Raw genomic sequence first — 15,395 nt, forward strand, 5'->3', positions numbered from 1 at the left:
CGAGGCAGATGCTTGCCTCAAATTCACTCTCTGGCCAACTGCCAAACAGAGCTGCTGGGGGACCCACCCAGGGCCTGTTCCCACCTCCAAATAACTGCAAACCTAGCTTGCCTGGCCCGCAGTGGGGTGGGGTGGCCAGACACTAGGATGGGATTCTTGCTTCTCAAGAGACTCGGTGCCTTACCCCTCAGTTTCCTCATCTGTACAATGGGTTGACACTGGGATTTCAGCATCACCGTGAGCATGGTATGCAAGCACCATCCGCGGGCTGGACACCCACCCAGGGCGCCCCTAGGGCTCCCAGGAAACAAACAAAGGAATGCAAGCACCAGCTCAACACCCACGTGCAGCTGGCACCCAAAGGTTACTGACTCCATCCTCACCCTGGTCAGCCAGTCGGAGCTCAGGGCTGGGTAGGACAGCCTCACTCCCGGAGCACGGGGCCCCCTGGCCTGGGCCAGGCCTCATCCATTCCAGCAGCCACCTGGCCTCAAGGTTGCCCAGCCTCCAGAGTGCCGTCTCTCCACTTTCTCTGAGTCATTGTGTGATTTTGGTAGTTGCTTCTCCCAGAGCTGATGGTGGAGCTGCTGATTCCCCATGGCGGCCGCATGCCTGTCCAGACCATCTCCTCTGTGAGAAAGCGGAGAGGGTTGTTTCTCTGGTCCTGGGCCACATGCCCCGGAATTGACAGTGTCATAGCCTCCCACCTGCTCTGCCATTCCCCCGGCCTTTCTCAGGTCTTGGAGATAGGCCGGTGTGCCCAGAGAGGCCCATGCACTCAGGACCTGCCAGGCTGTCCCGCCAGGGTCAGTGTCACATTTGCCCGGCCCAGTGGGGAAAGGTACATTGGTCTTCCAGAAATAAAGAATCCTGGAAAACCAGAGATTCGCAGGTGCGTGCTGGGTGCTCTTGAGGCTGAGGAATGAGACGCTTCGGAACAAATGTTCTTCCAAAGGCTCCTCTCCTACTTTGCTGAGATCCTCATGACGGATTTGAGGATCAGGGAAGGGGACGAGGGAATGGTGTGCACTGGGCCCCCACTCCTGTTGGGAATGTCACCTGCACTTAGTCCTTGCCAAGTAGGAGGAGGGTCGATGCTACAGCCCATTTTACAGATGAAGAAATGGAGGCTCACAGATGGGAAGTGAATGGCAGCTGGTCTGAGAGAGAGCCAGGCATCACCTAATATGAGCTTGGGAGGTGAGGCTGATTCCCTGCTTGGGGCCAGGGGCTGGGAACCACCCTTTTTTGACCTAAGAACCCTGCAGGACCTCAGGCCATGATAAATTCTCTTGCTGTGCTCATCCCACACCTGAAGAGCGGCTTGAGCAAAGACTTGGAGGTGGGAAGGACCCTGTTTGTTCTGGGACTAGCATAGAGATGAGATCAGCTGGAGTGGCGGGGAGGATCCTAAGCGCTGGGAGCCTGTGTAGCCATGGGAATCGGGATGTTTGCAGAAGCCACCTGGCTGTGCAAGAGGAAGGTGACAAGGCAGGTCAGAAGAGAAGCTGCAGCAGCGGGGACAGAGCTCTGGATGGGAGGAGGGGCCTGGGTGTGCCGCAGAGAAAATGGCTCCTGTAGGTGGGGGACCAAGGGTCTCCAGTGCGGCCGTGACCAGTAAGAGGAGGCCAGGGAAGGTGCTGGTGGGGACCTTGATGACAGTGGTGTCGGCAGAGTGCAGGGGGTGACAATGGCCTGGTGGGCAGACAGGGGACCAGAGACCTAAGCCCTCCTCCAGAGGCGGCAGGAGGAGGACCCGGGGTCAGTGGCGGGCTTAGGGGACAGGGGCTGAGTGTACTCAGGGCTGTGAGGGAGACTCCAGCCCCAGTTCCCATTTCTCAGATAAGGACAATGAGGCCCAAACCCAGGGCCAGAGAGGAGGCCGTGCACCCTCAGGTGTCAGACCTGTGGCTGAGGCCCTTTTCCGGACCCTTTCGCAGGAAGGCAGGGGCTGCTGCCTTTCCCTCTGCTCCAGCAGGTCTGGAGTGGGGCCTGGAATGAGCGTTTCTAAGAAGTTCCCAGCAGGCAACCACTTTGGGTAGAACACACACACACACACACACACACACACACACACACACACACGGAGACAGAGAGGTGGAGAAAGAGAGGAACAGGCACAGAGGGAGACAGAGGGCACCTCGATGAACATTGCCCCGCTGGTGCCTCTGCTGGTACCTGTTTTTGGCCTGGCTGTGAATCAGGGGAGTGACGGGAAGCAGGAGGGCTGGGGACACCAGGTGCCGCCGTGTCAGGGCCTGGGACTGGTGTGGAGAGCAGGCACCCCCATGCTACATCCCAGGGCCTAGTTTTCCTGACCCAGGATGGTCGGGTGCAGGTGCCCAGGCCTCCATGGCTGCAGGGGACATTGGCTGGTGGGGGACAAGCAGGGATGCTCCGTGCCACCTGCAGTGCTCGGGCCAGATGCTGGGTGGCCGAGGACATGCTCTTGGCAGGCCCAGAAAGGGCGTTTTGTGGCACGGGCTCACTCTGCTCCCATGAGAGACCCCGTTGGGCCCAGCAGCCTCATGACCACCAGGGCAGGGCAGTTTTCCCAGAGGAGCCGGTTACACCGCCCTCCCACCTCTGTCACCAGGTCTGTGGATGCACGGTGGACAGGTGCCCAGCAGAGCAGGGGGAGCTCTGCCCCAGGGCTTCTGGGCCTCAGCCTGGGGACACTTTCCCAGGCTGACCCTGGTGGCCCAGGGCCCTGTGTGTGGGCAGCAGAGACCCCAGCCCACCCTGGGGAAGGGCGCAGTCATGTCTCCCGTGTGGCCCAGTGGTCCCCCTTGGTGCCTATCATTGGCAGGGCCACAAAGAGGGTTTTGTTGACCCCTCGACGAGGGCAGGCACATGGAGGGTGGGGGCGGCGGCCCCTTTCATCTTCCAGGCCCCTAATTACCCCTTTCTCTGGCCTGGACCAAGATGCCTTTAAATAGCAACAGTCATGGGGCCAAGGGGGACTGACGGGAGCTGAGGGGCGCGGGGCCTCTGAGGCTGCTCACAAAGGAGTGAACATTCGCTCTTGGGGATGAAAGAGCTGGGACCCAAAAATAGACTGAGAGGTTCCGGCCTCACCTCGTGGCCCAGGACACCCTGAGCCTCCTCTCTGAGTGCGAGGCCCCTCCGCGCCCCCACCCTTCCTCAGGCAGGCGTCGACCTGGGGACATTCTAGAAAAGCCTGCTTGGCCCCAGGGCAGTGGCAGCTGTGCAGTGGGCGTCAGCCAGCGAGGCCCCCGCTCCTTGTCCTTGCCCTTGCCCTTGCCTCTGCCGTTTCCTAGGCCTGAACCGCCTCCTTCCTTCCCCTTCCTCCTTCGCCGAGGAGCCCGTCTTTGTCTTTCCGGGGCTGGCTCTGATGCCACCTGCCCCAGCCTTCCCTCACCACCCAGGCTGAGCTGGGGCTGGGGCCTCTCCTTCCCCCTGCCCGGGGGCCATGCCCTGATGTCTGTCACTGTCTCCCACCAGCCCAGCACTCCTGGATGGCAGGGCTGTTGTCTGAGCTCTTGGCCCCAGAACGGTGCCTGGCACTCAGAGAGGGAAGAAGGGAATGAAGGAAACCCCAACTCTAAACCCACCCCCCACGCCCCAGCCTCACTTTTCTCTTTCTCTCTATGCCAGGCCCTCCCCAGGTCTGCCCCCTCTTCCTCGGCCCTGTCTGTGCCCTGCGCCCCAGCCTCACCCTTCTCTTTCTCTGTATGCCAGCCCCTCCCCAGGTCTGCCCCCTTTTCCTCGGCCCTGTCTGTGCCCCCCACCTTCAATACGTGCTCTGGAGTCCCCACCCTTGGGGATGCGGACACTTCAAGGGCTCGTGGGGGCCCATTCTGGAGCTTGCCATAGTGTCCACTGTGGCCGTGACGGAGGTGGCCTCCAGGGAAACCCACCCCTACAGGCCTGTGCCCCTCACAATGCTTCCGCAGGGATGGCAGGCTGCGGCCGAGTCCCCTCAGGCTCCTCTTCAGGGAGCAGGGAGAGCACGTGGACAGGGACAGGGCCTTTCAGGACTGTAGGGGCCCCAGGAACTGCCTGGGAACACGGCCTGGAGGGAGGGCCCCCGGGCGTTTGTGCCTTGAAGTGGCGCAGTCCCTGTGGCCCATGCACACCCGCATGCTTAGAGGATGTGCAGGCACCGGACATGCCCCACGCTGGGTTCTGAGGCCGCAACAGTAAAGCGGGCACCGTCCCTGCCTTGGTGGGCTCTGGGGCTAGTGGATCCGGCTGACAGTGCAGGCAGCTGTGGCCCCCTCAGGGTGGCGCAGGGACCTGGCGATAGGGTAAGGAAAGTTCTGAGGCCCTGGAGGGACAGGCCAGGAAGCAAGAAGGATGTGGAGCATGCAGGGGCCTGCTGGGGCCTGCGGGCCCAGGCGGGTGGGCAAGGGGGCAGCTCCACTTGCTCATGAGGATGGTGTGTTGACAGAGATGAGGTGGGTGGGGCTGCAGGCCCCTGAAAGCAGGCATTGAGCCAAGTAGAGGTGGTAGCTATCCACTGACACCCTCCAGCCCCCTTGGGACAGACTTCTGCCAGGAGCTGGATTTGGGGAGGTGGGAGCAGGGCCGTGCCTCAGCCTCCTGCGGGCTTCAGTGGTCCTGGAGATTGATCTGATGGGAACAGATAAATCCAGGGCAGAAGCTCAGAGCTGGGAGGATGGGGCCACCATCTCCTCCATCTTTGGCATCACTGGTGGCGGCAGAATAAACGCCCCCCAACCATGTCCACACCCTAGTCCCCGGGACCTGGGCATGTGCCACCTCATGTGTGAAAAGAGACTCTCCAGATGGGGCTCACAGTCAAGACCCTGAGATGGGAGGTCATCCTGGGTCATCCGGGTGGGCCGCATGTAATCACCAGGGTCCTTATGAGAGAGACAGAGGTCAGAGGAGGAGACATGACGGGGGAGGCAGAGGTCTGAGGGATGAGACCACTGGCCAAGGAGCACAGGCGGCCTCTAGAAGCTGAAGAAGGCAAGGAAAGGGATTCTCCCCTGCGGCCTCCGGGAGGAACCAGCCCTGCCCGCACCTGGAACGTAGCCCCAGGAGAGCCATTTTGGACATCCTACCTCAGAAGTGTAAGATAATAAATCTGTGTTGTTTTAAGTCACTAAGTTTGTGGCAATTTGTTACGGCAGCCACAGGAAAGTCACCAATCATCCCTCAGACCCACCCACGCCTTTCCAGGACACCAGACTCCCTGTGCTGGTCCCCAGGTGAAGCCACCTGCACAGCCACTCTCGAAGGCCAGAGCTTTAGTCTCCCCATGGCCAGGCCCAAACTCCCTGCTTCTGATGATGGGGCCATTATCCCCTGCAGGACAGCTCTGGAAGAGCCTTCGGCACCTCTCCTGGCAGCTCCTGGCAGGGCTCCGCCCGCGGGGGCTGGAGGGTGTCGGTGGATGACTGAGGTCTCCAGCGCAGCAACAGCGCCTGTGCCTGCAGACCGTATTCTTAAGGCCATCAATCACAGGAGAGGTGCTGACAGTGTTTTGGGCCCCTTTCAAGCCCTAAACCACCAAAACCCAAACAACACTGGCCTCCAGATTCCACCTTGAGGTCAGGCTGCCACTGCTGCCTGGAGCCCCCAGGTCCCGGAGGCCAGCTCCACCAGGAACCTCGGTGAGAGCCTTCCCAGGCAGACCCAGACACGTTCTGGGTCTGGCCACTGTGCTTTCCAGGAGGACTGGAGCCTGGCCATTGGCTTCCTTCTGGAGCTCTGGCCTCCAGCTGTAATACTCAAGGGAAATTCAAAGAGAATCCCCCAGAGAGGTCCTTGGGGAATAAACTTGGCCCCAATTGCATTTGGGGCAGAGCAGCAAATTTGGGAGGAGACAGTCGGGATCCAGGAAGGCCCCGCTTCAATTGGCCTCCTAAGAGAACAGAGCCTCTGACTGGACCCCGGCATCTGTTTCTGCAGGTAAGACATCTGCCAGGTTGTAGGAGGCTTCATCCTGGGGTGTGGAGTCTGGGAGCAGTGCCAGACTGGGGAGCTGCAGGCCACGTCACCCAGCACCCCCTGGGCAGTTCCCAGGGTGGTCTGGGAGTGGCCTCTGCCTCAGCCCTCCTGACTACTGGGCAGGGCCATGCACCTCCTTCTCCATCTCTCCACGGTTTGGGGCTCAGTGGAGAAAGCGTGGTTGGGGTGGGGAGGTCGGACAGGCTGTGTTCCAGTCCTGGTTCCCCCATGCCCAGGAGCTCATCATCCACCTCTCTCACAACATCCTTCCCAAACACCAGGCTGCAGCCAACATCCAGCTTTGCTGCCCGGAGCCCCTGGTCCCCCTTCAGGGCCCCGGACACACTTGTTATGCCTCGTCCCCCATCCATCGTCCCCACTGGATTGTGTTCCCATGGCTGGGCATGGCTCACAGTCCCTGCTGAATAGTCAGGGTCCAGCATCAGCTTCCACACTGGGTCCCTTCCCTTTCCTGCTCAATCTGTCCTCATTTCCTTCTGCATTCAGGATAAACCCAGATCTGGTGTCCAGGCCCACCCAAGCACCCTGCAGCTGCTCCATCCCACACCTCCTCCTGTTGTCATCCTGTGGCCACCCGGCCTCCCATCCAGTCCAGAGCCAGCCGCCTCCCAGTCTCAGGCCTTTGTCCCCGCTGTCCCTCCTGCTGGAACTGCGTTCCCCAAGTTCTCCTTCCAAGGCGGCTCCCGTCTCCTTCTGCATCTCGTTCTGACTCAGCTGAAGCACAGCTCCTGCAGGAGGCTCTGCCCACAGTGTGCTTGCGCAGGTGCGCTGCTGGCTTCGCTCATAGCACACTGACATCTTTTGCAACAACATGGATGGAACTGGAAGCCATTATCTTAAGTGAAATATAGCAGACGCAGAGGGTCAAAGACCGCATGTTCTCACTTATAAGTGGGAGCTAAACAATGCATACGCATGGATGCCGGGTGTGGAGTGAGAGGCACTGGAGACTTGGAAGGGTGGGAGGGGGATGCGGGACGAGAAACTGCTTAATGGGTACAAATGTATACTGCTTAGGTGATGGCTACACTAACGGCACAGACCTCACCACCATGCAACGTTAATGGAATGCCCTGGACCCCTAAATCTATTTTTTGAAGTGTAATGGCCTTTTGTGTCTTCTGGTTCCCCTATGTGGTCCCTCCCTGGAGAGAATATCACTCTCAAGGGAAGAAATGTCCCAGTTTGCTCCCGCCCATCTCCTCGGTGCCCGGTGCCCCTGGGTGGAAGGCAGGTGCCCAGGCAGCATTAGCGGAATGGGGGACCAAGGAGGAAGAGCCAGTGAGTGGGTGGACATGGAGTCCCCCAGCTAGGGACCCTACAAACACCTTTGGGGAAAATCACTGACCGACCTCGGCTGCAGGCAGCCAGGGTCTTTCAGCAAACTAAAATAGTTACCAAATTCACTCAACTCAGGACCTGAGCTGTCTAGAATAGAGTATAGATAATTCGGTGGACAGGCGGGAAAATCTAAGGTCATTTCCCTGATGTAGCAACAGTCCCTAGGGGAGAGGAGGGGGCCAGCCTCTGCCTCCAGGGCCTGTTTCACTGTTAGGGCGCTGTCCCCTCTCATCCCAGGGCTGCAGGAGGCCATGAAGGAGGTGAGAGAGGCAGAGGTGTGGTCATGGTTTCCCTCCTTGCTCTCAGCACCCAGTGGCTCCTTAAGCTGTTGTTGGGGGTGGGGGTGTCTGGAGGTTTTGTTTATTGCACAGCAGGCGGTCACCTCCAGAGTTCTATGGAATGGATTTCAGAGCTGCTTCCTGGGATCACAAACTCTTTGGAGTTCAAGGGTGCAGAGGCATCTAACATGTGGGAACCCTATGGACTTGCAAGACCTTCTTTTCTCAGCAAAGGAGCACAGCAGCGGAAGACACGGGTGGGATGAGAAATTGCAGCAGTTGAGCACACGCTCACAGTGGCCCTGCCGGTCTGCACAGGCAGCTCAGCTGCTCCAGGACCCAGTTCTATCTACCACTCATGGACACTGAGTGACCCTCAAGCCCCCCTCCCTTCCCACTCCAAGCACTCCAAGCTCAGTGCTCTTGCAGCGCTGGTGGAATTGAAGTCACATTTTCAGAAGAGTCACGGATTCTGATGCTGAGGACTGGGGCTTTACGTCTGTGCTGCTGCCACCATTGTGCACAAACCTCCGGATCCCAAATCTCTCAGGACAGGCTTGCGGCACCGTCTGACCTGACCGTGAACAGCATCAGCTCCTCTCCCACCTGCCCTCCAGGAGCAGGGAATTCACAGGCCTGGAACGCTCCAGAGCTCTGCGTCTCAGGCAAGACTTCCGATACTCTCCAGCTTTGTCGGGCTCCTTTTTTCCCACCAGACTGCACAAAAGGAAGCTGAATCTGGCATGCCACCCACCACCCTGGGCCTCCAGCAAGCTCGGCCTCCTGAGGCCAGAGATGGGACTTGTTGGGGGAGAGGGGCCAGAAGGCTCGACTCTCCAGGATCCAGTTCTGTCTGTCACTTGCAATCTGACTTTGGGCAAACCCCTGCTCTCTGAGTCCCGGTTCCGCTGTCAGATAAGCTGGGATGATGTTCATCTCCAAGTGGTTGTAAGGGTTAAATGAGGGCATGGACATGTTTTACAAATTGGGAAGGAATAGAAAAATGATTATTATGGTTGTCCTTGTAAGTGACTGCTTCTCAAAAGCACACAGAGGCTACCTTAAGAGATTTATTTTCCTTCCCTTTTATTTTGAGCTTGACTTTGGAGGACTGAAAATATTCAGAGCCAGAAGGATCTGGGGAGGTTATTAAGCCTGAACTAAAGCCTTGACAGGTTGTGGTTCTAAAATTGCCAGCCAGTGAACAGGCCTGCTCTCCCACCCTCCCCCTTTCTCCCTATCTTCATGCATACCTCCCTGCATTCATATAATCACCCATCCATTCGTTCATCCACCCATGTGTCCATCATCCATCCATCTGTCCATCATCCATCCATCCAACTCTCCATGTGTCCATCCATCCACTCACCCATTCATCTGCTTCTCTCTCCCTTCCATCATTCCATTCATCCATTTTCCTTCCATATATCTACGTATTCTTCCATCCATCCATCCATCCATCCATCCAACCATCCATCCATCCATCCATCCACTTTTCCACCCATCCATCCATTCATTCATCCACCCATCCATGCATCCATCCATCCATCCATCCATGCACCTATCCATCCATCTCTCCATGTGTCCATCCATCCACCCACCCATTCATTTGCTTCTTTCTCCCTCCATCATTCCATTCATCCATTTTCCTTCCATATATCTGTATATTCTCCCATCCTTCCATCCACTTTTCTATTCGTCCATCCATCCATCCATCCATCCATCCATCCATCCACCCATCCATCCATCTCTCCATGTGTCCATCCATCCACCCACCCATTCATCTGCTTCTTTCTCCCTCTGTCATTCCATTCATCCTTTTCTCCTTCCATATATCTATATATTCCTCCATCTGTCAATCCACTTTTCCATACATCCTTATGCCCATCCATCCATCCATTCATCTCCCCATTTATCCACCTCCCTCCATCTCTCCTTCCAGCACTCACAAACACTGCCTTCATGTTTGGCACAGGGAACCCAGACTTAGATCCATCCCCCACTGGAGCCTGGACAGCCATAGGACATAGGCCTCAACTAAATGTGAAACTTCAGAATGGGGAGTGGGTGTGGGGGAACCCACAGGGGTTCAGAGAGGAACTTTAGCACTAGCCAGGGAAGGGCTATGGTCCTAGAAGAGTTAACTCCACTCTTCTGGCAGCTACCCAAAGAGCTAGAGAATCTGAGCATGTCCCTCCTCCCCCATCCCTGGCCCACCTTGGCATCTTTCTGCTCTGCTGAGGCGAAAGCCGCCTTCACTCTGCAATTTAATCCCAGTTCCCATAGCTCTGCAAGTTTCCTAGACTCGAAGACAAAGATAAAAACATCATAATAACCACAGTGAGACAAAAAATAATAATCCCAGTGCTGAAAAAAATGAGATGCTGTCGCTTACATCTTGATAAACTGTAAAATTTATCTTTTTGTGCCGATCTTCCCTTCTCTATTTCATTTACAGTGGATTTTTAATAAAAAAAAGTTGATAAAAATCAAAGCAACATAATCAAAATAGAAAAGTTTGACATTTATAGATGTTGTTTATTACTATAGTGTTTTAAGGTATTAAAAAGGCACACCAAAATTAGTTTCTTATCAAATGTCAAATTTTCATCAAGTTCTCGCCTACAAACTATTTCAACTTTGTTCTTTGGAACAGAGTTGAGTGTCTCCATGAGCACGTGGGGGAGAGTCCCTGAGGACTTGCAGTGTTGTTTCTCCCCGCATCATCACTCCACTAAAAGAATTAACATGACGTGTTGTCTTCCTAATAAGCTTTAAGAAGGAGTTTGCTTTTCTTGTTCTTTTTCCCCTGCTTTAGAGGCAGATGTGTTGCTGTTTGTGTATCTTATACACTAGAAGGAAACTGCAATGGTGGAAAGGTCTCCTGACCTTGGCCCAGTCCAGAACTGTCCCAAATGACCCCATCTTGACTCCGAACGAGCCCATCCCTTCCGCATGTACAGCTGTGCAAAGAAAGACGCTGTCTCCGTGGAGCCAACAGCAGCCCTGGGCGGTACCAGGGGCAGGGTCTCAGGTTGGAGTTTAATTGCTTGGAACAGAGATCAGCTTTAATCAGCTTGAGCAAGGAGGGAGGAGGCCCTAGACAAAGACCAGGCCCGGGGGGCACAGTGAACATGGGGTGTCTGGGAGCCAAGAGCGAGCCCCAGGAGCGTGAAGACAGTCGGGCGTGGCCAGGATGTGACGGGGCTGGGCTTTCCCTTCTTAGAGATGAGGGCTGGATCGCCGGGAGGGGCCAGCTCCAAGGCAGGAGGCCAGGGCTGCCATCCTTCTCGAACATATCCATGGACACCATGAAGGTGTGGTCAGGGGCAGAGCTGGGCAGTCGGAGGAGCTAGGGTTTGCATCCATCGTGTACCACTCCACGTGTGTCCTGACCAGATCACTTTCCCGGCTGAGTCTTAGTTTCCCAATTACCTGAACTCCCTCGGCCTCAGTTTTCTCATCTGTCAAATGAACAGAATGATTCTTTTGCCTGAAAGGGGAGCAAGCACTGGGTATTCATTCTTCCTGCACCTCGGATCTCCTCTAGTTTGGGGATCTGCGAGCCCGTGGTTGAGCGGGATATGAACTCAGGCTCCTGCCCCCAAAGGAGTCTTTCTCCTCCTCCCCCCACCTCCTGCTTTCCTGTCCTGCTCGGCAGGCAGCCTCGGGTTGCAGAGGTGAGTCCTGCTTTTCTCCCTCCCACACCGTGCTTTCCCTTAACTCCCCAGCCCCAGGGAGAGGCAGCATTCTACATTTCAGAACCTTCTGAAGGGGGTTGTGTCCTTCTTCCAGAGCTAACTCTCTTGAGAGTGCTCTGAGCTGGACAGCTGGTGGGTGGAAGACAGGCAAGACAGCGATGCCAAGAGACACAGCATTTCCAGATGATTAGAGGAAAAGAAGCAAAGGATGTTGCTCGTCTCAGAAAAATCAGTGCAAACAGCCGTCAGGGAAATAGCTTCCCATGAAAGTCCCACGAATGAAAAACAAGAGGAACGAGGCGTCCACTGATCCCAGAACAGACAGGAGGAGCATGGCAGAGACAATTAGGATCTATTAGCCCTGCCCCTCTTCTAAACAGCCACCGGGGGACAGCCTGTGCTGGGCCCAAGAACACAGCGATGGCCAGACGGGCCCTGACCCTGCGTGACCATCCCGTGCGGCTCAGGGAGACAGTACTCAAAGCTCAGGGGACCGGCAGGTGCGTGACATCCAGGAGGGAAAGCCATGCACTGCGGAGGTTTAAAGAAGGCGGGAATAAACTCTGCGACTTTTGGTTTAGAAAACACACTGTATTCAGAGGCAGCCAGAGATGATTTATAACATGCCATATTAGGGAACTTATAATAGCATCTAACAAGCAAAACCTCCGCATTTCAGTGGCTTCATGTAACACCGTTAATTCTTGCTTCCTGAACAGCTCCATGTGGTGCTTCTGGTGGGCAGGTGGCCCTCTTCCTGGCTGACTCAGGGACCCCTGTGGCTCTGCTGTTCAGGGAGAGTCAGAGCCCTCTGTGTGCAGCTGGCAAAGAAGGAAAGTGGCCAGGGGGATGGCCCAGCCCTATCTCAGAAACCTCAGCCCGGAAGTGGCCCACTTCCCTTCCACTCACAGTCTTTTTGAGAAGAAGCTTGTGCCTGTGCCTGGAAGCAAGGAGGGCTGGAACTGGGGCCCTGCTGGGAAGCCCTGTATCTGCAGAACTGTGTCCCGTGGGGGCCAGGGGACACAGATTTTTGCAGCCCTCTGATGCTGAAGCCTTTCTGGGGCTGGGATGACCCAATGCCCACCTGGACCGTGCACTTCCTGGTGACCCTCTGAGACAACTTCCTGGGCAGAGTTGATCATCATGGAGTCAGTGCAAGTCTGGGAACAGTGGCCTGAAACTGCGCAGCTCCAGTGTGTCGGTGAGCGCCGTCCTCCCAGGGCTCAGGGGAGGGCAGATGAGAAACCAGAAGATCCGCAGAGCAGGAGGCTCCACCGGAGGCCCGAGCCAGGGCCACCCAGAGGAACGGGCCCTGGCTGGGGACAGAAGCCTGCTGGTGTGCTCACTGCGTTTCCTTCCCCTTTGTCCCCCAGCTTTTAAACGGGTTTGAGGAAGTCTCAGGGCTACGTCAGCTGTGCTAGGGGAGCCAACGAGGGCAACTGGGCTGAAGCGAGCAGTGAATCCGAGAGGAAGTTCAGGACAAGGGGCCCTCCGTGTGGCTGAACAGGGATCCCTCCCTGGCTGCCCTTCAGTTGGGCCCTTCTCTCTGAGCTCTTCTCCACGAGACTCCACCACGGCCTGCTGAACTCAATTTTAGCAGAGAATCCTAAGTGAGCTGATTGAGAATCCCCTCCCCTTGACAAATGATTGAATTCCACGTCATCATTTTCCATCCACAGCCCCTCCCTTTGCCCATGGGCTGTCAATCCCCAGGTGTCCCCACTGTGTTCAGAACTGAGTCCATCTCTGTCCCTGCTGTAATACTCTTGAGTCAAGTCTTCCTCACCATTTGTAGCTGGTCCGGGGCACCCCACCGAGAGTAGGAGACAATTCTTCCCATCTAGAACATTCCTTCCAGGCTCAGGACCACTCTTGCCTGCTGGGGGATAGGGGCTGCCAAGAGGGGCTTTTCCAACATGGGCAGTGGTATGGGAGCTTGGGCCGACCGTGGCGGACTGGAGGGCAGGCATTTTGGGTGGGAACGGTGCTCACCTAAGGCTCCTTCTGCCAAGCCCCTTCTGGCCTCTGCCAGGACGGGATGTGACAGAGTGCATCTGTGCCCGGCTGCTCAGGGCAGAGTGGGGCAGGGCAGCGTCCCTGGGGAGCAGAACCCCAGGCCTCCGCATGAGAGTGCTTCAGGGGCACCCGGGCACCCTTCTTTGAAGGTTCTTTCTGTTTTTAAGCCTCTTTTAAGCTGCCCAAGTGCCAGCTGAGGCTATTTTGGGATCAGCCATTCATCCCAGGGCTGTCTGGCCCTTCTGAAAACTCTCATTAAATTGTTCATCGACAGGAACCAAATACTTGGCCCCAGGGCCTCCAGGCCTCCCCCGATGTGTGGCCTCCTGGGGTCCTTGCCCGAGAGGCTGAGGGGGAACCTGGCTGGCCACCAAGGCCTTGTAAGTATCTTCTCCCTCAGAAATCCAAGTCTGTCTTCCAAAACACCCCCACCCCCGCCACTGAGTTCATGAATATTCCCTCTGTGGACACACAATTCGAACTTGCGCGCACACGGCCCACCCACCACCTGAGGGAGGGACGGCTTCCAGTAAGTAATTACTCAACACAGCGATCCCAGGACACGACCTCGGAATGGGAGAGCGGAGGCCTTTGTTGGTTCAGAGCGAAGTGGGGTGTTCCCAGGACTGGAGAACTCAGGTGGCCCCTCTAGCAGCTCTGCCTCCTTGGGATCCCATGAGCTCGGCCTCTCAAGCACAAGTGTTATCCAGAAATCTCTGGAATAGGATGAGAGATGATGAGAGGTCATTCCAGGGCTTTCCTCCCCGAGACCCTGGAAGGGCCCAAGGGAGCCTGCGGTGGGACTGGGCCCTAGATAGATCAAGGCCAGCACTGGGACGGGGTGGGCCTGTCCTCAGGAGGCCTCCAGGGCTGCTCACCTGTCAGCACCCCTGGCCTCTCTCTGAAGCTCTCATGCCCTGATCTTCCAGGTGGAGGCCCTTCAGTGAGGAGTCCCCCAGTCTGGGTGGAGAGCCAGCCCGATCGGCTTGATTCCTCCACTCTTGACACCGTGAGCCTCAGATTCTGAGAGCTTGGGAGGATGGACAGAGACTGCGGTCAGCAGGAGAATGGGAAGCAGATGGGAGAGGAAGAAGCTTGCCTTTGGTGGGGACCAGGAGGCTGGGAGCCCAGGCCCATTCACTGTAACATGTGCAGTAAATCCCATTATATTCATGCAAAGAATTCTACACAGCAAGGAAAAGGAAAGAGCTGTTGGCATGCCACAACACAGGTGGATCTCACAGACCTACTGCTGAGCTAAAGAAGGCAACCACGCACATGTACATGCTGCATGGGGCCGTTTCTATCTGCCCAGAACCAGGCAAGAACCATCTATGCCAACAGCTTCATTGCTGCTGTTTCTGGGGTTGTTGACTGGAGGGGCGAGGGGACCCTCTCGGATGTGGAAATGTTCTGTGATGAGATAGAGGTTTCCTGCATGTCTGTGCCTGTGAGATGCATCCAGCTGCACACTTCAGATGCGTGCATTTTATTGCATATGTTATGCCTTGATTTTTAAAAGTCTTTAAATATTTAATCCTGAACATCCCTACGAAACAAATAATAAAACAGCCCTAGGCTCCTGATGTCTTGCCCAGGTCACCTACCACCCTCAGGCCTCTCTAGGAGTCAACATCTGGATGCTGATGCCTGCTTCCCCCTCCATACCTCACAGCCATCACCCAAGAGGGGGCTGTAAGACGTCTCTCTGGCCGGCACTGGAGCCAGCTTTGAGCTGCCCGAGCCTGCTTCCTACGCAGGGTGCTTTAAATCTTCCGGATCACTGAGCCTTCATTTCAGAATGCTTTATTGCTCATCTTCCTACCACGCAGGGCTGCTGCCTGTGTCAGCTCGCACCGAGGGAGGAAAATAATTATACCCCACAGCGTCAGTTACATCGAAGGGTAGAGAGGCACCAGGCGCCTTCCCCTTCAGGATGCGCAGAGCCAAGGGGGTTTCCAATCCTGCTCCTTGCTGACCAGGGCCTCTGCATCATGACACTGACCGTCCCACACATCTGGCTGCCGCCTCCTCGCTATTACCTCATGTCTTCCTCTGCAGGCTCCCAGACTGGGGTCCTAAGATCTGGAGATGC

General features: G+C 56.3%; 2 long non-coding RNA genes across 2 annotated transcripts, besides 2 other annotated features; one reads left to right on the forward strand and one right to left on the reverse strand.

The window, feature by feature from the left end:
• Nucleotides 6,669-7,560: an enhancer, noted in NCBI's record as "H3K4me1 hESC enhancer chr14:101581665-101582556 (GRCh37/hg19 assembly coordinates)". NCBI's record gives its function as "activates a minimal SCP1, AML or CMV promoter by ChIP-STARR-seq in naive H9 embryonic stem cells {active_cell/tissue: H9 hESC(naive)}" and the evidence as "EXISTENCE:reporter gene assay evidence [ECO:0000049][PMID:30033119]".
• Nucleotides 7,561-8,450: an enhancer, noted in NCBI's record as "H3K4me1 hESC enhancer chr14:101582557-101583446 (GRCh37/hg19 assembly coordinates)". NCBI's record gives its function as "activates a minimal SCP1, AML or CMV promoter by ChIP-STARR-seq in naive H9 embryonic stem cells {active_cell/tissue: H9 hESC(naive)}" and the evidence as "EXISTENCE:reporter gene assay evidence [ECO:0000049][PMID:30033119]".
• On the reverse strand, nt 11,855-12,637 carry LOC124903386 (uncharacterized). The gene is made up of 2 exons (XR_007064341.1): nt 12,369-12,637; nt 11,855-12,105 (listed from the first exon to the last, which is right to left on the reverse strand). It is a non-coding gene; the product is annotated as an uncharacterized LOC124903386 (long non-coding RNA).
• Nucleotides 12,197-14,886, forward strand: LINC02285 (long intergenic non-protein coding RNA 2285). Its single transcript, NR_146490.1, has 2 exons — nt 12,197-12,485; nt 14,230-14,886. It is a non-coding gene; the product is annotated as a long intergenic non-protein coding RNA 2285 (long non-coding RNA).
• The last annotated feature ends 509 nt before the right edge of the window (nt 14,887-15,395 follow it).

Source organism: Homo sapiens, chromosome 14, assembly GCF_000001405.40.
Source record: "Homo sapiens chromosome 14, GRCh38.p14 Primary Assembly".
In the NCBI taxonomy this organism is placed as follows: Eukaryota; Metazoa; Chordata; class Mammalia; order Primates; family Hominidae; genus Homo; species Homo sapiens.